This window comes from Homo sapiens, chromosome 6, assembly GCF_000001405.40.
Source record: "Homo sapiens chromosome 6, GRCh38.p14 Primary Assembly".
NCBI lineage: Eukaryota > Metazoa > Chordata > Mammalia > Primates > Hominidae > Homo > Homo sapiens.
This window is the reverse complement of record NC_000006.12, coordinates 44,460,806-44,485,600: the sequence shown is the minus strand read 5'-3', so window position 1 is coordinate 44,485,600 and position 24,795 is coordinate 44,460,806. Positions and strand designations below refer to the sequence as shown.

Here is a 24,795-nt window from a genome sequence, read left to right as displayed (position 1 = left end):
CCTGGCCACATGGGCCTCTGTTTCTTCTTCCATCTGCCTGTCTCTCCTGGTGTGATGCGTGTGTGACTTTTGGACTCAGAAATGATTTGGGTTTTTCTAAGAAAGCCCTTAAAAATGACCCTGGGCCGGGTGCAGTGGCTCACGCCTGTAATCCCACCTCTTTGGGAGGCCAACGCAAGAGGATTGTTTGAGCCCAGAAGTTCAAGGCCAGCCTGGGCAACATTATAGTGAGACCTGTCTCTACAAAATAAAATAAAATAAAATAAAATAAAACAATTAGCTGGGCATGGTGGCACGTGTCTGTAGTCCCAGCTACTTGGGAGGCAGAGGCAGGAGGATCACTTGAATCCAGGAGGTTGAGGCTGCAGTGAGCTATGATCCTGCCACTGCACTCCAGCCTGGGCAACAGAGTGAGACCCCACCCCAAAAAAAGTAAAAATAAATGAGAAGCCCAGCTTCTCTCATTCCAGTTCAAACCATACCCCAGGATGTTCACATTGAAAGGGCTCTCAGAGATTTCTTGGGGGCCAGGACCCAGGACATCCATGTGGGGCAGCCAGACCCCAGCATCCTGGGTCCCCTAGGTGGAAAGTCCTGGGTGGGGTCCCGTGGCATCTGGTGCAGCCCTGGCTCTCGGGGGCCTTGGGCAAGTCAGCTTCCTGATGGGCCCAGTCCTCTGAACTCACTGGTCTCTTAGAACCCTCCTTGTTCTAGGGTTTTGTGGTGCTGCAGGCACTTCTAACCTTGGTGCTTACAGTATTTGCGATCAAAGATTCGAGTTCAATGAAGGCACACACACCACGTGTCTCCCCTCGACCCCCCACTTCACCCCTTAAAAAACCTTCTATACACTTGTGATTTTAACTAAACTAAAGCCTCAGTGCTCAAGTGGGGTCCAGACCAGTAGCATGGGTGCCGCTGGAAGCTTAGAAATGCAGATTCTCAGGCCCCGCCCTCCAGCCACTCGATCAGAATCTGCACTTTAAGGGAATCCCCAGGGCATGTGTGTGCACATGGAAGAATGAGAGGTGCTGGTCTAAAACGCTCTCATTCCTGGAAGAGGCAGCCATGAGGATATAGAGAGGGCCTGAGATTGGGCCTCAAAAGCAAGCTGTTCCGCTCTGTGCTGGCTGTGTGGCCACAGGAACCTTTTGCCCTTCCCTGCTGGGTTTTTGCATCTGTAAAGTGGATGGCTAGTGCTTGACCTACACACACCAACTATCAGATGGAAGTGAGTTTCTCTAAGTTAATTGGGCACAGCTGGGTGCGCAGTTAACACAGAGGTGTTCACTGCTGCACTGCTTGTGACAGCGGAAAAACGAGACAAAATCTAGATGTCAACCAGTAGAAGATTAATACAAGAACTGGTATACACCCAAACAATACAGGACAGTGCAATTAAGAAGGAAAAAGAACTGTATGTTTGTGATCTATTGCTGAGTAAAAAGGCAGGATTACAGAGCAAAATGGGTAGTGTGATACCAGGCATGTAAGAAAAAGAAACCACACATATAGTTCACGTACGAATGGAAAAGTCTAGAAGGTTATAACCCAAACTGGGTTCACAGCAAACTGGAAGATAAAGGGAACTGAACTGGGAGCAGGGAAGAGGCTACTGCTTTCTCAATATTGTTTTAAATCTTATTAAAATGGATTAGAAAAAAATTAACATGCTATATAAATTTGAGATATTATTACCATCATTATTTATAAGGTAGACATAGTAGCGCTAGTGACTTTAGCCAGGAGAAATAATACATGCAAAACGTCGTGTCCCGCCATTTAGAGTTCCTAACCTCTGCCCAGAGCCAAGACACAGAGGCGTGAAGGCACTGCAACAGTGAGGCTCCAGGAGGTTCTCAAACTCAGCCCCGGAAGGAGGTGCGCTGCTACTTGAGGGAAGTACACGTACAGCGTAGAACATTTTCAGATGAAAGCATTCCCCTACTGTACACGTGTCTCTACTGAAATGCCACTGGCCCGTGGTATAATACAGGTTAAAATGGCATCTGATTTAGAACAAAATTACACCACGCTCAGACATTTTGAGTACAATGTATCTGCATCTCACGGTTGGGCGGGGAGGGCGGTGGGAGGCGGTGGGGGGAGCTCCACAAAGTCCCAACTCCCACTCCCCGGTGAAGGGCCAGGGTGAGGGGTGCCAGATGAGGCCCAGAGGGCACGCAGGAGAGCACCACACCCAGCAGCCTAGGAGGCAGCCCCAGAGAGAAAGGGCACCTCGCACACTCCTCTCTCTGCCTCTGCTCAGTGACGACCAGGAAAGGCAGTCTATGCAACTCACCAAAGAAGGGAGACAATGGCAGGGGTCCTGGGAACCGCAGATCACACCACCAATGCCACCCACTTAGACCCACATGGAACACTGAGCCTGGGTTCGAGGGACAGCAGAGGAGCCCCAGAGGAGGCTAGAGGGGTCAGTCCCCAGGGGATAGCAGGGTCTTTGGAGGAACTCGCCCCTTGCCCAGGGCCTCTGTGTCAGGCTGTCTGAGGGCACATGCAGGCAGGCAAGGGCTCAAGTCCAAGAAGCATATCTGAATATGCTGCCAGGTGAGGCAGGAATTGGGAATGGGTTCAGGCAGAGGAATGGGGGGCTGAGGACTGCGAGGGCATTAGAGTCAGGAGCAGGCTCAGCACCAACAAGCAGTTGGGCACACACAGAGACAGGGTGTTTACCAACAGCCTAGCATACTGTAGGTGCTCAGTAAATGATGGTGCACCCCCCCTTCCTCCCGCTGCTGAAGAGGCTCCTCCTTCCTGCCACTTGTCAGTGCTTGAGGGACTGTCTCAAGACCAAGGATGGACAAGCCCTGATCTCCCCTAAGATAAGGAGTCCTCTGTAACCAAAAGGAAGGAGCCAGCTGGGGCCCCGGGACGCTCTGCCAGAACCCATTTCAAAGTCCCTTCTACATGTTCATCTCAGGTAGGCTGCCAGATAAAATGCAGGTAAAATATTGTATGGGACATGTTAATACTCAAAAATCATTCATTATCTGAAATTCATATTTAACTAACTAGGCATCCTACTTGGTTTTGTTTGTTTCATTCTTGTTTTGTTTGTTTGCTACAGCTGGTTAATCAAATCTCAGAACAATCTTACCAACAAACAACAAAGATATCATTATGCCTACACTGCAAAGAGGAAAGCAAGGTCCAGGACATTTGTGCTCACCTTCTAGCGGGGCAGGGGCGGCTCTCAGGTTCTCAGGTTCCCAAGCTGTCCTTTCCCCCCAACACCAATAGTTCCCAGTCTGCCCATGCAGCATCTGGGAAATGTATGAAAAATAAAATGAAGGCTGAAGAGGAAGGTGCTCCAAGATACACCCCAAACTGATGGTGCCAGTCTCTGGGGGATAGTCAACGGCAGGGGAAACCAAAGACTGGGTGCTTTTGTTTCATACTTATTGCTTGATACTTGACTTCATACTTATTTCATCCTTATTGCTTGAGTATGCACTGCTTTTGTGATTCTAAAACTAAGAAAATAAATGAGCAAATGTTCCGTATTGGCAGGAGATGGGGTGGATACACTGGGGGGGAGTAGAATCCAGCACAAGGAAATGAGCTAAGCTAAGTGTTTAAAACTCTACTCTAGAGTTTTCTCACACACTTGGGAACCCATCTCGAGGAAATAATCAGACATGCAGACAAAGATTCCCTTATGCGCAGCCGGTACAAACCACGCTTTCAAAAAATATTAAATGTCATGGGAAAATACTCACGATGCTCAGAGGAAAATGACACCAAACTGAGTGTGCGGCACTAATCCGAATATAAATGTATGCACAATAAAAAAGCCTGGAAGGAAAGTCGCAAAAATGTTCAATGCGAGTATCTAAGGGAGGGAACCATGATGGTTGACATTTTCTTAATTTTCTAGAGGAACATACATACTGAAGATATTTTGAAAGAAAAATAAAGATGCTTGAGTCCCACATCAGATGGACTAAGCCAGAATCTCCGAAGGCTATGAATCCTAGAGATCTGTACAGCACTTTTGAAGTGTTTGGAACTCTTCTGTGTCTACACCATGCCAGTGCTTTATAACTAACTGCTAAGAATCCAAGGCCGAAAGAGGTCTTGCTCCCGCCTGTGCAAGACTCCGTCAACTTGATTCGCTTGGCCCCTGCAGGTGGTTCTAAGGGAGGGAGTGGCAGGGCAGAGGGCAGCCTGTGGGCAAAGCAGGGCACTTCACAGGCAAATGCTCCCTGGCATGTGACTTCCTCTGACTTGGAAACAAAGAGATCTCCATGGCTCTATGAAAATCGCTTTGCAAATGAAACGGAAAACAGGGCCTTGGAGATAGTCAACCCCAAAGCACACCCCTAGAGTCACTCACCTGGAAATACAGTTATAGCCAAACACACAGCACCACCAGGTGTAATTCGATCAGAGTGTCGCATCTGTGAGTTGACAAAGTAACAAAAACATTTCACACATCGCTCTGCCATGGGGCTGCCATTTTTAAATTTACAGTCCAGGAGGCCCTTGTGCTTCCCAAGAAAGATATTTGGGCGCAATACAACCGAGTTACTCATGAGGCCCTCTTTAATCACCGCAGTTAGGGCCCAAGGGGGGCCTTGACAGGCGGAGACAGAACAGGCAAATCTGAATGGCCCCGGGGCAAGCTGACCCTGGAGGTCTCCTCCAACCCCTACTCGGAATCTCTTCCCACTCCCTCACCTCCAACTGCCCAGATCCCTACCATAGGTTCCCCCAAGGCTGGGTCCCACTGAAGGTCTGTTTAGCAGAAACTCTCTCTTAATCAGTCCTTTCACCCACAGTGCTAGCCCCTCAGTGGAAAGGGCTTGAGTACATAAGCAGAAAAAATCAGATTAATTCATACTAAGGTGTGATTGACTGATGAACTGACCCCTGAGAGCCACAGGAAATTGGCTAGCCATGGAGAACATCTTGGCCCCAACCCACACTGGGCTTTGAGACTCCCACGTCCTCCTGAGAGGCTGGAAGACAGCAAGGTTCCTCTGGACAACTTCAGCCCTCGAGAAGGGAGGCTTCTTCCCGGGTCTCCTTGGTGAGCATCCGCAGGCCCAAAGCGCTGAGGAGAAACTCTTGGGGCAATTACATCAGCACAGGACGCCTTTGTTTTGAGCTAAGGCTGGTTTTCCCACAAGCGACTGAAATAAATTAGAGCGTTTTCAACGAGGGCGGTTGAAAGCGGTACTCTTGGAAAAATCTCAGCAGCTGCTCTTTATTGGATTATAACTAGGAGCAAAACACCCCAAACCACACAATCGCCTGCAAAGAAGGGGGGGAAATCAAATCAAATACAACATTGTTGTAGGCTCTGGAAAATGTTTCCCCAGGAAACCCAGCCTGGGAACCTAGTCAATGTTCTCTTGCTCGGCTGCGAGGGGAGACAGACACTGCTTCTCGGGGGTCAGATACAGTTTGTCTACTTACAGGCAGCCAGAGACACCGACAGACAGCCACACACAGGCAGGCTGGAGACAGGGGACAGACATCCCAGTGCAGGCTGCTGCCAGAGGGATGCACTGAAGCCCAAGGAGAATGTCCCGTCTGCTGGGGTGGCTCAGCCCAGAATGAGACACACCAGGCTCTCTGCTGAGAGGTCTTTAAAAATAGATAAAACCACCCTGCTTGTGGGGTGAGTGCAGCCCATCATGCCCTGGAGCCCAGAGGTGGGATATGTTCCTTAGGAAATCCATAGAGGCATTGATCCATTATTGGTATCTAATTCGGCAGACGGCCTGAGATGGAAAGAAGGAGCTAGAAGACCAGAAACCTGGCTGGGTCTAACACTGCTAATACTTAGCTCTGTGAGCTCAGACAAGCCATTTCTCTTTAGCTGAGCCTTCATTCCCTCATCCATAAAATGGCTATAATCTGAGAACACACAGACACATGGAGGGGAATGGCACACAATGGAGCCAATCAGAGGGTGGAGGCTGGGAGGAGGGAGAGGATCAGGAAAAATAACTAATGGATACCAGGCTTAATACCTGGGTGATGAAATAATCTGTACCACAGATCCCCATGACACAAGTTTACCTGTGTAAGAAACCTTCAGATGTACCCCCCTGAACTTAAAATAAACATTAGAAAAAAGAAAAGAAGAAATGGGTATCATCACATCGGTCTTCCCTCTTTCCATGGTGGAGGTGGGAGATTGATCAGAAGCCTCAAACGAGAAGCAAAAGGAGACCAAAGTCAGAACAGTGGTTGTTTGGTGGGGGTGGGAATGGCCTGGGAGAGGGGCAGAGGGAACCCTCTGGGCTGAACATAAAGGCACTAGATCTTGACTGGGGTTCCTCCGAGTTCCTCTGGCATATGTGTTGTCAAAATTGATCAAGCTATACATTTAAGATCAATGCATTCCACTGTATGTAAATTACACCCCGGTTTTTAAAAATGAGAAGTAAAACGAAAGCGCTGAACAAATGAAAGCTACTTCTGCCATAAAGGAGGCTTTATTGGCCTGCTGTGAACAGAACACTCTCAAGTAAATAAAGTCTCACTTTGCCCTCGGATAGGAGATTATTTTGAAGTTCAGGTTCAATAGTTTCAGAAAACACATATGTTTGTGTCTAGTTCGAACTGGTTTGGTAGGTATTTAAGAAAAAACATTAGTTCAATTCAGAGTTCAGTCAAAAAATAATAATACTTGGATTCGGTTTCGGGTTCAGTGAATCAGGGCAGTGTTTTCCAATTTGGGGGTCATGGTTCGGTTCAGTTCAAGTTCTTGTTAGAACAGCCCAGCATGGGGCTTGGCCCCTGGGACACGGCCAGCCTGGCCCACCAGCCATTGTCCACACACTCCCATCCCTTCCCAATCAGCAGCAGTCAAGGGGGCCCTTTCCAGCCTCTTTCCTGCACCTCCCAAAAGGAGAAACCAGAACTTAAGAGGAAAAGAAAATAGTTAAATTTTTTGGCAAATCAAACCTCGATCTGTACTCTTGCACACGTGGGTGAGGCAAGACTTGGCCCCTCAGATGCTGCCACCCACCAGGAGGAAGAGTAAATAATCAAGGCATTGGGGCAGTTTACGCCCTGGGCCCTGGGTGGGTGGGGGCTGCTATACCCTTTTGCAGGTGGAGGAACTAAGGGAGGGGGTGTGATTCATCCAGTGCCTCAGTCAGGGGTGGAGACTGTGCTCATACCCAGGTGTGCACAAGCAGTGGGCACGGTATGAGAAGTCCTCCCAGACCACCCCAAGCACAGTGGCAGCGGCTTACTCTTCCCAACCCCCCACTGCACCCTCTGTCCCCAGTTAGTCCCAGCAGACACATGTGTGTGGTCATGACTTCCCTTTTTAGCCTTGGCATTTCTGCTTAAGAGTAAGGCTCCAACTTCTGTTTCCAAGATTCCCAGCAGAAGCTGGCACAATGGGCAGAAGACAGAGCTCAGAACTATTGCTGGAGGCTTCTGGGAATATCATTGATGTGGTATGGAAATAAGCCTCTAGAGGAGCCTACGAAAAGGAAGGTTACCTCCCACCTGGCTCTCCCTTGCTGCCCTCTTCCCTCCAGCCTGGCACATAGATAGCTCCCTGAGCCTCAAATACAGAACAGCCTACAGAAGACCAGGCCTTTAACTCTGGCCCCTGCCCACCTCATCTCCTGCTGTCCCCACCTTGCACCCTACTCTCTAGTCAATGGGGAAGTTTTATGCCCCTGTGCATTTGCACGTTACATTTCTTCACGCAATGCACTTGTCCTCCTCCTTATCCTCCTGTATAGCTTCTCCTGGATGCTTCCTAGGAAGAGTTGACCACTCTGAGCACAGAAGGGACCAGATGGGGAGGGCATCACCCAGGTCTCAGGTACCTCCTGCTTCCCGCCTGCAAAAGAGTTATCAGTCCTTGATACAAACAGCCTCTGCTGGCAGGACCATCATGTACAGTTGTGCAGTTTATGCACTGCACAAATGTGTCCAGCTAAGAGGGTTAGCGGGGACTGAACTCCACTTGCAAAGCTGTGCTGCTGAAGGCTGTGCCCATCCAGAGAGGGCTCTTTTTCCTAATTCTCCCTGTCAAGGGAGCAGCAGCCTTGCCCAGCAGACATGTGCAGATCCTAGGAGGAGGCATTTGGTGCCTTGACCAGCCGTCTTGATAAGCTTGTCACTCATCCTCGCTGCAGTGACTTGCAGAAAGGCCTGTCTGCTGCTGGGCTGGTTGCTTTCTTCCACAGGCCCTGGAGGGCTGGGGCTTCTCTCTGTAATAGTAGCCCTGAGCACAGCATCTAGCCTGCCAGCTGCCTGGCTGCTACAAGAGCTGATTTTACCCAATGAATTGAGGACCTGGCGAATTCTTTCATTTTGGCTTCCATGCTTAGGCTGAATGTCCATCCAGCATCTGTCAGAAGCTGACACCATTTCATGGCCCCCTGTGGAAGTGGCCGATGCTGTCCCTGGCCACCTGGCAAAGGGGGCCTGGGTGAACTTCCACCAGCATCTGCTTCTGCCTACATAGCCCCCACCCCGGCCAGCCAGACACCGCCAGGTCCTCGGCTCACCAGGCTTAGGGGTTTGGTTCTTGTCCTAAAAGATATTTTAGATAAGCGTCTGGGCTGTGGAGGAGGCACGTGCAGGTATCGGGACCTTCTTGGCGGTGGTATCTCCCTTCCAGGCCCTGTCAGCCTGGCTGTGCCCCCTCGGCCTGGCCCAGTGTGTGCTTTTCTGCTACCTGTGCTCTGACCATGGGGTCCTAAAAGTCCCCACACCCTTGTTTCTGATGCGCTGCTCCCCTCAGACCTCCATGCCCTCAAGGGACTCCTGGGCTGCTGCCCCAGTTCAGGCGACCACCACAGCACACAGCATAATTGTCCATGCCCGTGGCCCACAGCTGCCTACCATTTGGGCATCACGGATTCACGCCTGTGAATGCCACTTCTCATCTCTCAACCTCAGAGGCATCCAGGAGAAACAGCACAGGTCAGGTGGTCCTAAATTCAAATGTCCACTCTTCCCTCCCCATCCAGAGAGTTTGGGCAGCTTGTTTAGCCTTTTCCAACCTTAGTTTCTCTTTACAATGGGGAGACAACACGACCAACAATGTGCGTTAGGCAAAGTGATGTCTGAAAAGTGGCTGGTACCTGGCCCGAATGACCAACTCGTTGGGTTGCCCAGGATTTTCTGAGTTTAGCACCAAAGCTGTGCATCCAGGAACTCCTCAGTGATGAGCAAACTAGAACAGCTGGTCCGCCTACAGCCCCACACACGGGAGCCGCTTCCTCTTCACCCACCACTCAGAGGAGCAACTGACAACCTGGAGCAAGACCATCCGCGAAGCCTTCGGAGTGAGGAGAGGCGGCCAGGAAGGAGGATTCACCGTGCCAGACCCAGGCTGGGCCTCGCTTTGTAACACCTACCAACACCCCTTCAAGTTGCCCCATGCCCCTGCAGAAGTATGAAGTCCATAGGGCTGTGGGCCCCACAGCTCCCAGGGCAAAGCCCGGCAGGCAGTGGGTGCCCAGGAGCCCCAGCTGCTGGGTGCTCCCACACGCCCTGGCCAGGCCAGTGAGGGGGGCGCAGCCCAGCAGGCCTCCATGGGGTCCTCTGGAGGGAAGGAGGAGAAGGGCTTTTACTCCTTTCCTTGGGCAGAAGTGCAGGTAAACAGGCTCCTAACCCTGCTGTAAGGTAAAGCCTGTGAAGCAGGAACAAAGCGGTTTGTTCCAGCTCACCGTGTCGCCACAGCCCGTGGCCGGCCGTCTCTGGGGCAGCAGTGACACCTGCTGGCCGCCGGATGCACCTTGCTCCAGATTCCCTGCGGGAGCCTCCTTGCCTGCAACCCTAAGGAAGCTCGGGGGACCTGGTCAGCCGCACAGGAGAGGCCAGTTCGCCCAACCCTGCAGCCCTGGGGGGCGTCGGCTACAGACAGGCAGCTGGCTGGAGATGCTGCTGGAGCTGCGGGCTCTGGGTCCTTGGGGAGGGGAGGACAAGTGGCCTCTGCATCTGTCCTCTTTGGAGCCTGGGCCCCGCACAGCCTTCAAGAACTTGGAGGAAGAGGGTTCCTGGACAGAGCTGAGGGTGCAGGGAGCTAGACCAGCTTGCAGTGGCAAGCACCCTCTCCTGGATTTACCTATTTCCTCCCCTAAATGCTCCAAGAACACATCGTTTCCCCCATAACACTTCTTGATTCTAAGAACAGTCACTTTCTCAGAATCTTCATTTTCTCTTTGTTTCAATCCTAGTACTAATAGCTGGTTTTCTCTTCAGTGCTTCCTCCAGAAGCAAATGTCTCTGCAGCTCATGAGCAGGATGGGACATGCCTGAAAGGTGGTACCATAAAAGTCTTATGGGGACAAGGGGACCCTGTCGTCAGCCACCTCCCTGGTAGCCAGCTGATCACTGCCCACACTCCAGCCTCAGACGAGCAGCTATTTAAAAACGAGGCCTCAGCAGAATCTCAGGCTCTCACATGCCTCAAAGTCCAAAGGTCTATGCTCTTCCTAGTAGACATCTGGGGAAATCGAGGCTGAGAGAAGCAGAACGGCTTGTCCCAGATCTGACAGCTGGCTCAGCCTCACCCTCTGTGCCTCCCACTGCTCTGTGCCTGCTTCAGGCTTCCAGAAGAAATCATGTATTGTGTTTGGGGATGCCTTGATATCAAGGAGAAAAACTGAATACAACATTAAATGTTTATCCATAGGGGGACTGATTACATGAATAATCTATACCCACCCACTGGAATGCTGTAAAATAGCACACTGGCCTTAGAATGGCCACTCCTCTGTTTATTTGGTGACTGTGAGCAGATTACTCACCCTCTCTGAGCCTCTGTTTCCTAATCAATAACGGGGTGATGCAGTAACATCCTTCTAAGGGTTTATCTGAGGCCCCCAGGACTTCATGACTTTACAGGATATTTATATATAATAACTCCTTTTTACACACACACACACACACACACACACACACAGATTACAAAACAATATATGTGCTTATTCTCAGTCAAGATTCTGAAAAACATGGGGTGAGGTGACTTGAAAAGAGTTTACTTATAGGGTTTAAGGAAATCAACAAGGGAAGAAGGGCCAGTAACCATCCGCAGGGCTGAAGGGTAAAGGGAAGAGGTCATTATGGGAATCCAGAGAGGGAAAATGTGTGAAGGGGCCACCTGACAGGAGCTACGACTCCCAGCAGAGGGCCGCCACTAGTCCCCTGACCATGAGGGCTGCTGCGACTAGTCCCCTGACCATGAGGGCTGCCGCCAGCCCTCTGACCCCAGGATCTGCCACCAGCCCTCTGACCCCGGGGTCTGCCACCAGCCCTCTGACACCAGGATCTGCCACCAGCCTTCTGACCACGGGGTCTGCCACCAGCCCTCTGACCCCGGGGTCTGCCACCAGCCCTCTGACCCCGGGGTCTGCCACCAGCCCTCTGACCCCAGGATCTGCCACCAGCCTTCTGACCACGGGGTCTGCCACCAGCCCTCTGACAACGGGGTCTGCCACCATCCCTCTGACAACGGAGTTTGCCACCATCCCTCTGACCACAAGGTCTGACCTGGCACAGAGGGAGCCAGCGACAGGAATATCCTAGCCACACCTCCTGTCCCTTGCAGAGGCTGAGCCCTTTGATGCAGTGCACACCGGTCAGCTTCTGCGCAGAGAGTACGGTGGAGGAGGCAGCCAGGGTACAGGCCCAGACAGCTTGTATGCATATGAGAATGTCCAAAAGAGACACCCCAACATATCCAACTGTGTTCATCTTGGGTTGGGGGCCAACTGCGGTTGCCAGGAGTAGGGGAAATGACACTTGGATCTTTTACTTCCTATTTCTCTATATTTGCATTTATAACAACTAGCAGATATAAAACGTGTCATCGGCAGCAGTAATTAAAATGTTCCATTTGGGGAACAGCACCTAGATTTCAGTGAGGTCCTGGTGGAAAGAGCACCATTCAGGGGTCCGCAGTCTCAGCAGCTGTTCACGCCTCCTTCAAGAAGTTAGCCTGCCCCCTACTCCAACCCACTTGCGGCAATGGCTGCACAGAGCTCCAGGTCAGCTTCAAGTTGAAGGACCGTACCTCATGCTGGGCTGCTCTGTACCATTCTACTTAAATGAGGCATGTGTATCCACAGCTAGACAGCGGCCACCTCAATGTCCTTTTCACAGCCCTGGGCTGGGCACAGAAGAGGTGCCCAGGAATATGTGGCCGCGACAGACTGATCGAATGCACCAGCTCCGTGTCTTACCAGTGGGATGACCTGCGGGGTAAGCCATTTAACTTCAGCGTCCTCATCTCTCAGGTGCAGAGATGGATGGAGGCCTTGCTCACCTCCCAAGGCTGCCAGGAAGTGAAAACATTCTGAAAAGGCAAAAGCACATGCAAAACCGATGTGTCAGGAGCAACACACTTGGATTCATGCACCTTTGCAAATGCTTTTCTTTTCAGTGTTTAAAAAAAAAAAGTGTGTTTAAAAAGAGAGATCACTTCTCTTCATTTCCTGCCCTCTCCCCTTCACAGGGGCATGAGACATTTCATTCAGGGTCACAGATTCTGTTTCTGTCTGGGGGAGGCCGGCCTCGGGGGATTGGCCCCCTTTAGGAATTTGTACCGGGGGAAATATAATCCAGTGTTTTCCAGCCACCATTTAGCAAAAAGTTGTCATCGGAGTAGTTTCCTCCCAGCGATGCTGCCTTCACCTTACCCCCACCCCGCCCCCCAAAGGACCGACTTGGTGACTCTCTTCATAGTTACGAACAAGCAAATCTGCAAAAACTTAGGAGGCCTCGGCTGAACCAAAACGTTTTTCAAAGAAACACTTTCCAGCCTAAGAAAGGTAATATCCTGGAGGGCTGCCCGCCTTCCTGCAATTAACTAGAATACCACCCAACGGCGCTTTTGTTGGCTACCATTTCCCATGGAAATACCTCAAATGCTTTTCCTCCTGGTGGTTCAGCAACTAGAGACATGGAAACAGGCTGCAGCTCTAAAATGGGACCTTTGTCTTTTCCTGTTCAAGTCACAGAAGGGTAGTCTGGACCAGAGAGCCCTTCCTCTGCCACCCACGGCAGCCTAGGCACGGGCAAGGAGCAAGGGTCCTGGCTCCCGTGTGGGCTCTGGGCCCAGGCCCTGAAGCAGGATGGGAGGGGAGGGGGCGATGTCATGAGGAGGGGCCTAGGGACTGAGACTCTACCAAAAGTGTATTCAAGTCCAGCCCCACCAGAAAGCCTCCAGCTCTGTGAACTTGACTGCTTGACTGTACCTCCCTAAACCCCCAGGCCTCCACTTTCCTATCTGTTAACTAGGGAAGCAAAACCTTGCAGGGTTGTAGTGAAGATTAAATGAGCAACACTTGTGCAAGCTCCTGATACCCAGTAGGTGCGTGTTACAGCATAGTTTTCATTTTACTATTTGAGTTAGAGTGTCTGCTCCACTGTCTCCTTTTAAAATATAAATGCTGCAGGAGGAATAATCTTTGAAGGTTTCTAGAAGCCCATCAGGAAGAGGAAAGGAGGTGGTGGTGCCAGGTGGAGGAGGCCAAAGGAGAGATGTCAGGAAAAGCAAGCCACAGAGCAGCTGATCTATCCTATCAGGGGCAATGGCAGAGAGATCTTCCAAAGAAAGTGTTAAGGCTTCTGAACCCCCCTGGAAACATAATGCAAGGGCTGTCCCCTGACCAGGTGGTCTGTACCATGCCATCAGTGACAAGGACACTCGGAGTTTCACCACTAACAGGATCCAGAAAAGGAATTGGTATGCAAAGTATGTCCCTCCAGCTTCAAGCCTGCCCTGCGCGTCCTCCATGACCTCAAGCCACGCCGCTGCCCTCCTTCCCGGCCAACGCCAACACCGGTCTGCAACTGCACTGATACTAGGTTATCAGCACCAGGCCTCTCACTTCCCAGAGGCACGCTCTTGTCCACCTAGAGCAGCCTGACCAGCCCTGGGAAGGACCTCCGGCCCCGATGACCTGTCCAACTGAGTGTCTGCACCTGAAATTCTACCAGCAGCTGTTCATTTCTTTAAGCAGGAACTGTACAGTTTTGAAAATGTTCAAACTATGGAGGAGACTAGATAAGTAAAAGGAAAAAATGGGGTGGGGAAAAGGGAGTTTGCTATCATTTACAAGGAGCACGAAGATAGAGGCGTGAAGTAATTTTGTAATTTTATATCTCGTGCTATCTTTTGCTCACTGAATCATCTCATTTGACATTATCTCTGATCCTTTTTGGACTGAGGCAATGTATTCATTTGTTATTTAATATCAAGTTGAATATTTTACATTTAAAGATATAACTTAGCAAATAATAAATTTGCCAATTGAATTTCATTTTTACTTCGTTTTAAAATGGGGCTACAAGCTGCTAATCCTCTATAAATCTGGCATCTTGACTTTATAAATCTGGCATCTTGACTTTTGTTTCTGAAAAGCAGTTTTTATAAAATCATAATCAAGAAGTCTATGCTATCACAGAGCAAAACTTTGGATGTGTGCATGTCCTTTGATCATCTTCAGGGAAGGAACAATTCTGAGCCCCAAATCAAGAATAAAACAGCTGAAGACCAGGTGAATGAGGAAGAGGTCACAGCACACCTTTTTGTACAGGAAACTCACAAGTGGCAGCATTTACACCACGGAGAACAGCAGCAGCCACTGGGACATGACAACAGGCAGGGCAGGGCAGGGCACAGGGACTAGAATGAGGAATTTGGAAGGTAAAATTTGTGTAACTTGCAATTTTGCTAAAGAATGCTGCTGTTGCCAAGTGACATTTTAGTAGTTTTCTTTGTTTATGCTGATTTTTTAAAGATATCCTCTAGTCTTTCAAAAACGCATTGGATGATCCAAATTGTCTCTGAGAATTTTTTTAATTTATTACAAAGGAGTATAAAGAGTAACAATGCTCATACCCACGCCACTTTGAGTTAAGCGTTATTCATTTTCGGAGGCCAAGGCAGGTGGATCATTTGAGGTCAGGAGTTCGAGACCAGCTTGGCCAACATGGTGAGACACCCCGTCTCGACTAAAAAAATACAAAAATTAGCCAGGCGTGGTGGTGCATGCCTGTAATCCCAGCTACTCAGGAGGCTGAAGTAGGAGAATCTCTTGAACCCAGGAGATGGAGATTGCAGTGAGCCGAGATCATGCCACTGCACTCCAGCCTGGGCGACAGAGTGAGAGTTCATCTCAAAAAAAAAAAAAAAAAGAGTTCTTCAATTTCACTGGGAACATTACTACGAGGCATGAACTGCTATAATCATGCCTATTCAGCTTTTGTTACACATCCATGACAAGGGATCTGTGTTTGTGTAGTGCCCAGCTGTATTAGTTGGCAAAAAATCAAAGTTCTTACGTACAGGTTGGTGAATGGCCCTCGCCACCTGAGCCTTTCCCCGGGGCTCCTGCACCTGGCTACAATCCAGCAACTAAAGAGTTGACATCTGTCACGGAGCCTCCAGCACCTAGGTTACTGTCCCAGAGGGCCTGGCTGGGGAGCCCCTGCACCCACTAAACCTCTGAAGCTCCTGCGCGAGATTCTATCCCAACATGCCTCTTTGGCCCAGCAGCCTGGACACTCCTTGGCAGTGGTGCAGCCATCCCCTGACCCCCACACCCAAAGGCTGTGGCTGCCCCATAAACCGGCACTCTCCTGGCATCGCCCTCACGTGGCCACGTGTGGAACTGCGGCCTCTGAGCTCTGCCAGGTGGGAGAGCAAGTAGCCAGGCAGTGACTTGGCCGGCGCTGGTTAATGCTGCTGGTTCTGACAGCAGAGGCACCCGTGCGACAGAAGGAGGGATGCGGGCCCAAGTCTGTAGGGGCATTGAGGGCCACGTCCCCTCAGGGGTAGGTCCCTCTTTCATCAGGGGTATGTCCCTGTTGAATTTCATCTTTTTTTTTCTTTTTTCTTTTTCTTTTTCTTTTCTTTTTTTTTTTTTTTTTTTTTTTTTTTGAGACGGAGTCTTGCTCTGTCGCCCAGGCTGGAGTGCAGTGGCGCGATCTCGGCTCACAGCAAGCTCCGCCTCCCGGGTTCACGCCATTCTCCTGCCTCAGCCTCCTGAGCAGCTGGGACTACAGGCGCCCGCCACCACACCGGGCTGATGTTGTTTTTGTATTTTTAGGAGAGACAGGGTTTCACTATGTTAGCCAGGATGGTCTCGATCTCCTGAACTCGTGATCCGCCCGCCTAGGCCTTCCAAAGTGCTGGGATTACAGGCGTCAGCCACCGTGCCCAGCTGAATTTCACCTTTTTTAAATAAAACACGTATTAAAACATTGAAACACCCGCCCATCACTGGCATTAAGAATCTAAACTTAATAAAAATGAGAGCTGACATTTATGTAGTGATGCTCACTGCCAGGTACCATTTTAAGTGTTTCCTGCCTCACTAAGTACCATCCATATCATCACCATCATCACTGCCCCCCTTTACAAATGAGGAACCTGAAGACAGAGGTAATCAAAACTGACGCAGGAGAATCAGAATTCAAAACCAGGCAATCTGGCAACAAAGCCCACACATTGAGCATCTTCTCTCATCCACCTGAAAGATTAGACTTGATCTAATTAAATATGACGTTTCAAGAAAGGAATGTCAATGATTTCATCACTCATGGAGGTATGGAATATATGGAAACTTCTGACGTTTTTATAGGCCTCGAAAATGTTTTATTTAGCTGCCGTTAGTTTAGCAGAAGCTGAGAAGAAATCAACACCACTTACAATATCTGATGTTCCAAAAGATTTTCTGCTTATTGAGACTAAAAGTTACCTCATGCCTATAATTTCGTGGGGAAATTCTTGGAAGAGTTTGCTGCCATCTCTTGTATCAAAGCATGGCCCAGACCAGTGCATCACTTACCGAGGGTCCACCACATCAAACAGAAGCTCACACCAGCAATTCCTGAAAATTAACAACTTGGAAATTATAAGATGTATTTGATAAACCATTTTTGCCAGAATTTAGGCAATAAAAGAGAATATTTTTAAATATTGGATGTATTTATTAAATTATGTAATTTACATTATCACTCCAGCTAAATATTTGCATATCAACTTCTGTCCCTACCAATAATAAGAAAGTTTCACCTGTGAATTAGATTGTCACAAATGCTCTCTTGCTAAGTATGTCATTCTGCATCCTCTTTTTTCTCAGTGGTCGCTTTTGATTGTTGCGCAGCAATTCCTCTTGAGACCCTCCCACATTTTATTTATTCTTTCCCTACCTTTGGATGTTCCATCCATCAGTAGGGAAAGAATAAATAAAATGTGGGAGGGTCTCAAGAGGATTTGCTGTGGAGCAATCAAGGGGGACCACTGAGTGGGGAAAAGTTAGAAAGGTTTAATTGTTTCTAACCTTGTACACTTCTCCTTGTGCACAAGTTGAAGAATTTATCTTGTGTATAAATGCTGAATCAGAGTTGTTGAACCATAGAATACACCCATTTCACTAGATTCTACCAAAGTACTTTCTTTCACCCTCAGTGGATGAGATTGCCAATTTTCTTCTTTATCCTCATCAATCCTTCATATTATTAGACTTCAATTTTTTCAAACTGATGAGTGCAAATGACAGCTCAATTTTTTCTTGTTTGTTTGTTTGTTTGTTTTTGTTTTTGTTTTTGAGACAGAGTCTCACTGTGTTGCCCAGGCTGGAGCGCAGTGGCACGATCTCGGCTAACTGAAACCTCTGCTTCCCAGGTTCAAGCAATTCTCCTGCCTTAGCCTCCTGAGTAGCTGGGACTGCAGGTGCGTGCCACAACCACTAGCTAATTTTTGTATTTTTACTAGAGACAAAGTTTTGCTGTGTTGGCTAGGCTGGTGGTGAACTCCTGACCTTAAGTGATCAGCCTGCCTCAGCTTCCCAAATTGCTGGTATTACAGGCATGCGCCACCACACCTGGCCTAAATTTTTAAAAGTTCTTAAAGCACCTGGAATTTATTCTTGTGAATGGTGTGAGGTGGGGAGATAAGGTAAGGAGACACACAGAAGGGAATTTAGGAGCAAGATGACAGCCACTAAAAATAATATTGCAGAAAAAAATGAATTCCATAAAAACTTACCATGTAACATTTTTTAAAAGCCAATCACAAACTGCGTGTCCATTACTAGTGCATTTTTATTAAACATTTCTGTGTATTTTCAAAGGCTATACCCAGGTCATTTTTAAATGTCTCCCTCCTGTTAGTCCTCCCTCTCCCATTAGAGTCACTATATCTCCCCCACGCACCTCTTCTCCCTCTTCTCTTCTGAGAAAGGAGGAAGAACTCTTTCCCCAAAAATCATCCTTTGACCTTTGGTCAGTAATGGAATGTCCTGGTTTGCCTGCGATAGCCCAGTTTTCCCAGATTTCCCGGTTGTTTAATCTGATGTGTCCCATACTATGGTATTGGTACCACCACCATGTACCACCAGTGGTATTGTTACCACCATTATAGCATTGGTACCACCAATACCACAGTATGGGATACATCAGATTAAACAACTGGGAACTAATACCCCGACTCAGCATATGTGATACCCAGAATAAATCTTAGTTTAATACATCCCATTTTTACATGTTGAAAATTTTTCAGTTATCAAATAAAAATATTACAATTCACAGTTTGCACTGTTTCAGTGTTTAAATTCTGAATACAAATAAAAATTCCAAGTGGTCACATAGAATGACAATTAAAGTAGCTCAATTCCTTTCATCTTTATGATAATCATTGCGTTATCATTGTTTATTTCAAATCTATTGTTTAAATGCAGGAGTAGGCTGGGCATGGTGGCTCACACCTGTAATCCCAGCACTTTGGGAGGCCGAGGTGGGCGGATCACCTGAGGTCAGGAGTTCGAGACCAGCCTGGCCAACAAGGTGAAACTCCATCTCTACTAAAAATACAAAATTAATCAGACATGGTGGTGCACACCTGTAATCCCAGCTACTCAGGAGGCTGAAGCAGGAGAATCACTTGAACCCGGGAGGCAGATGTTGCAGTGAGCAGAGATCACACCACTGCACTCCAGCCTGGGCAAAAAGCGAAACTCTGTCTCAAAAAATAAATAAATAAAAATAAATCCAGGAGTTCTCTGCCAGGGGTTGGAGACATGAGCTGTTCACTAAGCCTGATGACTTTGAATAATTATGAATTTATTCACAAAAAAAATGTGTATAGTGTATGCCAGGGGTCAACTGTGTAACTGGGTGTTTGTCTAATTAACTTCCATGTAAAATATGTTTATTTAGTAAAAGGTAAGAAATTAGGCCAGGCGCAGTGGTTCACGCTTGTAATCCCAGCACTTTGGGAGGCTGAGGTGGGCAGATCACCTGAGGTCAGGAGTTCGAGACCAGCCTGGCCAACATGATGAAACCCCGTCTCTACTAAAACTACAAAAATTATCCAGGCATGGTGGCGGGTGCCTGTAATCCCAGCTACTTGGGAGGCTGAGGCAGGAGAATCGCTTGAACCTGGGAGGTGGAGGTTGCAGTGAGCTGAGATTGTGCCACTGCAGTCCAGCCTGGGCGACAAAGCTAGAGTCCCTCTCAAAAAAAAAAAAAAGTAAGAAATTAAAACAAGCCAATTTTAAGCTTACATGTATATTAACACAATAGTAACCACAGCAATTGTTTAAGAGTTAAACCAATTAAAGATTTTTTTTTAAGGAGGGGGTAGGTTATCACTGATATAGTTCAGAATTGCTGATTACTGCTGCATGGTGATAATGAAAAGCAGACCAATTCTTACCCATTTATATAGTCTTTAGTGAATGTATGTCCCGCTGGACTGCTTTCACCACCTGCACTGTTACCACTCTCAGAAGTGTCCCAGTTTAGATGATAAATTATTAAATATATGGTCAGTGGTTTATTTGAATCTTTGTTTTTGCTTATATGGGGGCAGGAGGGGAAAAAATTGCTGTTGGGCACAACTGAGAGAGGAAAGAAGCCTGGAGCTACACAGCAAACAATGAATTAATACTTTGAGGTCTTCTTGCTGGACTGGAATCTGCTTCCATGGCCCTGCTTCTCTTCCTTGGGGTCACATGAAAGAAAATTAAGCCTCTTGCATGTTACAGCCCTTCAAATTGGGGAAGGGCTTGCTACAGGTTGAACTGTGTCTTCTCCAAAAAAGATGTTAGAGTCCTAACCCCAATACCTGTGAATGTGACCTTAACTGGAATAGGGTCTTTGCAGATGAGCAAGCTAAAATGAGGTCATTAGGGTGGGCCCTAATCCAATACACCTGGTGTCCTTACAAAAGAGGGAAGCATGGACAGAGGCAAGCACACAGGAAGAATGCCATGTGAAGATGAAAACAGAGACTGGGGTGATGGAGCTACAGTACAATGAATGCCAAAGATTGCCAGCAAACTGTCAGAAGCCAGGAGAGAGGCAAGGAACAGGTTCTCCCCCACAGCCCCCAGAAGAGCCAACCCTGATGACACCTTGACCTTGGACTTCTAGCCTCCAAAACGGAGAGACAGTAAAGTCTGTTGTTTCAGCCCGCAGTGTGCAGCACTGTGTTACGGCAGCCCGAGGCACCTAACACGGGGCTCTTACATCACTTTCCCACGCCCCACCAGCTCTCCGCCCAACCACGACTCCCATCTCTTCGCCCTGATGATTCTGTTTCCCCCAAAGTTCATAACTGAACACAATTCCCCTTCTAGTCTTATACAGAGGCCATTGGTATCTAGGCCCCAAATCTGTCAGATTCTTCTATTCATCGTTATCTCATTTCATACTGTTACATTCAGCTCATCATTCTGTTTGGTCAAAATACTTTTTGCATCCTGCAATATTTTTCAAATCATGAGCTCTCCTGACCAGCTTCAAATCATCCCGGAATGTAATAAGTGTGCTTTTTAGGCTTTCCTGCAAGTGAATGCTTGGAATGTTAAGCAGTCCTGGGTCAAGGGCAGAGTCTGGGGCACACCGCCAGATACCGCCCTTGGGGATGACACTATTCCCTTAATCAGCACAACTTTTTGTGCTGACCTTGTACCTTGGTGCTTTTATTTCTTTAAATATTGTCCTATCTTGACCATAGTTACATCAAGTTTTATAAAACAAAGTTTTATAAACACAAAGGTAGTAATTAAGTCTTTCTCTTGACTTTTACCATTATTTAATGAAAAGATTTACTTTACATGAAAAGTAATATTGGCCGGAGTGTTCCCTCTTCCTGTTTCTCTCCGTTATTCACAGTTGGCCCAACCGCATCAGGCGCTCCTGAAGGCCTGGTTCCACCACCAGCAATGTTAAGTTCTGCATTGGGGAAAATAATTATGCTCTTTAGGGATATCTTTGCACATTCAGAAAGTCCAGAGATGGTCAATCCGGGCTGGCGTGGCACTCCCTGGTGTATGTGGACCTGGGCCCCTGCTGTCTTGTCCTCCCTCATGCCTGGCCACCCTTCCCAGTGTCTCCTTGTGGCAGGTACAGTGGCCACAGGGCTGCGAGCCTCTAGTGTCTGCCTCTAGCTGGCAGAAGAGAATAAGGAGGGTACAGCCTCTCCCATCTTAAGAACACGTCTCTTGCACTCATCATTCCTGTTCTGTTCCACTGGCCAGGACTTAGACACACCACCTTCTTAATATGGGCTTTGAAGACTGACTGTTAAAGACTGCAGAGAATGTCCACTGAGAGAGTGCTGGTGATTTTGCTAAAATATGAAACACATTTGGAGACTAGGCCATGTATAGGAAATGTGGGGCTTGTAACTTTGGATTCCTTTCCAAAGTGTGGAATTTATCTGTAAAGTAAGTGTGTTCATTGGAATTTAGTTCAGCTGTAACAGAAAACCCCGCAGTAACAGTGGTTTGCTTCTGTTTCCCGTGTATGAATGTTTTAAATGACAGTAATGCCTACCACCGACTGAAGGCCTGCTGCGTGCCAGGAATGGGCCTAGATACTTTCCATTTCACCTTCTCGAGACCCAGTAAAGGAGGGCCCCCCTTTACAGGTGAAGAGCTAAAGCTTGGAGAAGGGAAGTAACCTGTCCAAGGTCACACAGCTCCTTCATGGTAGAGCCTGCAGGAACTCAAAGCTCTTTCCACTCCACTGACCACACCAGAGGATGACAAGTGCCACCCTCACTGCACCCAGGTCAACTAGGTGGAAAGGGACCTCGCCCAGCTGACTGTTTGGTGACAGAAGCATGTTTTCCTGGACATGTGTGCTAAATGGTGAAAACTAAAATTGAAATGTGCATCCACACTCATCACCCCACACAGGCTCTTCCTGTTAATTTTTTTAAATACCACAGAGTGACTTATTTGGGTTACGCTTCTGGTTCACCAAGCACAACTGTGAACCAGATATGAGACATAAACCAATGCCAAGGACGTCTGAGACGAGACCTCATGGAATGATGAGTCTCCAGGCGCTCAAGTCCTCTCTTCCTCCCCAAGTACCAAGTTTTGGTCAAAACAACCAAACTCGTGGCCCTGAATCCGGTGTGAGGCTCACCCATGGTATCTTTCTCTATGAACTACGGCCCAGTATCATGAAGGGCATGGGCGGTATTAAAGCTTTCCAGGTGCGGGCACTTGGGGGCTCAGAGGCAAACAACCTGACTCACGACCCCTTTTACTCAAGCAGTAACAGCTGCACTTCACACAGGGCAGTCAAGGTCAGAGACGCCAAGTAATTTGTCTCAAGTCACACAGCCTAAAAATAACAGAGTCAGGACTCAAACCCAGGACTTCTGACTCTGAGAATAGAGCTTGTTCTTGTTCCCAAGAAGTTCCTCCTCTATGTCTCCCCCTCTTCCCATCCCCTGCTGTGTGGAGCAGCAAAAGTGGTAATTTCCAGAGTTGAAGCCCATCCATTGTGTGGGCGCTGGGGATGGAGACTGCAGAGGGGGCCTGATGTTTTATGGCCAGACATGCTGGGGGACAAGAGGGAGAGAGAGACAGAGATGGAGAGAGAGGCTGAGCGAGCGGTCCCCTTTCTGGGCAGATAAGCAGAAGGCGTGATCTAAAGAAGCTTATGACCTAGCTAAGAAGCGAAGACATGACACAGGAAGAAACCACGACACGACGTGAAAGCCATGGACTGCCGGTCAGCAGACAGTAGGGCTGCCCTTCCACGGGGGTTCTGGGCAGAGGCTGGGCTGAAGCCGGCCCGGCCAGATTTGGACAAGGGAGAGAATGGAGAGGACCCAGTGAGAGAATGGAGAGGAGACTAGCCTGGAGTAGGGGATGACCCGGGAAGCACTCTCACCCTGAGGGCGGAGGCAGCACAGTCCTCCATCGCGTGGGTGTTATCATGAGTTTAATTCACTGAAGGACATTTAGGTTGTTTCAGTCTTTTGTAATCACAATGCAATAATGATGGATTTCCCTTCCAGATCAATCCCTAAATGTGGAATTGCTCACTTAAAGAGCAAAAGCAAACAGTGTTTTCCAGGTTTTTGTTTGTTTTGTTTTTGTTTTTGTTTTTGTTTTTTTGTTTTGTTTTGTTTTGTTTTGAGGCAGGGTCTCACTCCAGCCCAGGCTGGAGTGGCAATCATAAGCTCACTGCAACCTTGAAATCCTGGGCTCAAGCCATCCTCCCAGCTCAGCCGCCTGAGTAGCTGAGACCACAGGTGTGTACCACCACACCCAGCAAATGTTTTAATTATTTGTAGAGACAGGGTCACCCTATGTTGCCCAGGGTGTTCTCAAACTCCTAGACTCAAGCGATCCTCCCACCTCAACCTCCCCAGTAGCTGGGACTATAGGCGCATACCACCACACTTGGCTACTTTTTGTAATTTTGGTAGAGATGGGGTTTCCTCACGTTGTGCAAATTGGTCTCAAACTGCTGAGCTCAAGTGATCTGCCTATCTTGGCCTCTCAAAGTGCTGGGATTACAGGTGTGAGCCACCGTGCTGGCCTTTCCCAGGTGTTCTAATTGCATTCCGTGTTGCCGCATTTGATGGGTTTCTTCTGCCCTGCTCAGCTCTGTCTCTGCTGTGCTAAGACAGCCCCGAGCTGCTGTCCTGCTTCTTGCCAGCTCAGTGAGGTGTTAATGTGTGAACTGAATATCTACTTTTATTTAAATTTATCTAATTTAAATACGTTTTTTGTTTGTTTGTTTGTTTGTTTGTTTTTGAGACAGAGTCTCACTCTGTCACCCAGGCTGGAGTGCAGTGGCGCCATCTCGGCTCACTGCAAGCTCCGTCTCCTGGGTTCACGCCATTCTCCTGTCTCAGCCTCCCTAGTAGCTGGGACTACAGGCGCCCGCCACCACGCCCGGCTAATTTTTTGTATTTTTAGTAGAGACGGGGTTTCACCGTGTTAGCCAGGATGGTCTCGATCTCCTGACCTCGTGATCCACCCGCCTCAGCCTCCCAAAGTGCTGGGATTACAGGCGTGAGCCACCGCGCCCGGCCTAAATTCCAGTTTTAATAGCTGCACATAGCTAGTGGCTACCATATTGGACTGCAAACTTCTGGAAGAACCAGAACCTTTCTGAACTTTGATTTTTCCTTGGTTTTTTCTGACCCTTTGTCAAAGCACAAACATGGCAACTGTGGGTACAGCGAGAGTCCTTGTTCTCCCCTCCCTCACCCCAGCTCCCCTGCCCTTTCTACATTCCCCCTTCCACCCAACACCTTTAGAGCTTTCTAGGACAAAATATTATTTCTAATAACAGAACTTTCTCATTCAGTTATAATCACAAATCCCTCTGGGAAGAAAGTCTTATAGTGCAACAAATGGCCTATCCAAAGATTTCAGAAAATTACTTTTTAAAAACTCTTTGGAGTGGACTACGCAGGGAAATTAAATAAGTATCACGTTGGTTTGAGTAAGTTATCACATATGCCCCATGAGTTTCAGGGCATGTTTTGAGAAGGCTTTTTTCACTGGT

The 24,795-nt window shown here is 48.3% G+C and overlaps 3 annotated features.

Moving 5' to 3' along the window:
- Positions 5,191-5,410: a silencer, noted in NCBI's record as "fragment chr6:44447928-44448147 (GRCh37/hg19 assembly coordinates)". NCBI's record gives its function as "represses an EF-1alpha promoter that drives an FKBP-Casp9 reporter gene in an ReSE screen in K562 erythroleukemia cells {active_cell/tissue: K562}" and the evidence as "EXISTENCE:reporter gene assay evidence [ECO:0000049][PMID:32094911]".
- Positions 9,632-10,162: an enhancer, noted in NCBI's record as "H3K27ac-H3K4me1 hESC enhancer chr6:44443176-44443706 (GRCh37/hg19 assembly coordinates)". NCBI's record gives its function as "activates a minimal SCP1, AML or CMV promoter by ChIP-STARR-seq in primed H9 embryonic stem cells {active_cell/tissue: H9 hESC(primed)}" and the evidence as "EXISTENCE:reporter gene assay evidence [ECO:0000049][PMID:30033119]".
- Positions 22,873-23,240: a transcriptional cis regulatory region, noted in NCBI's record as "candidate enhancer chr6.3216 targeted for multiplex CRISPR interference". NCBI's record gives its function as "positively regulates SLC29A1 gene expression in K562 cells {active_cell/tissue: K562}" and the evidence as "EXISTENCE:mutant phenotype evidence [ECO:0000015][PMID:30612741]".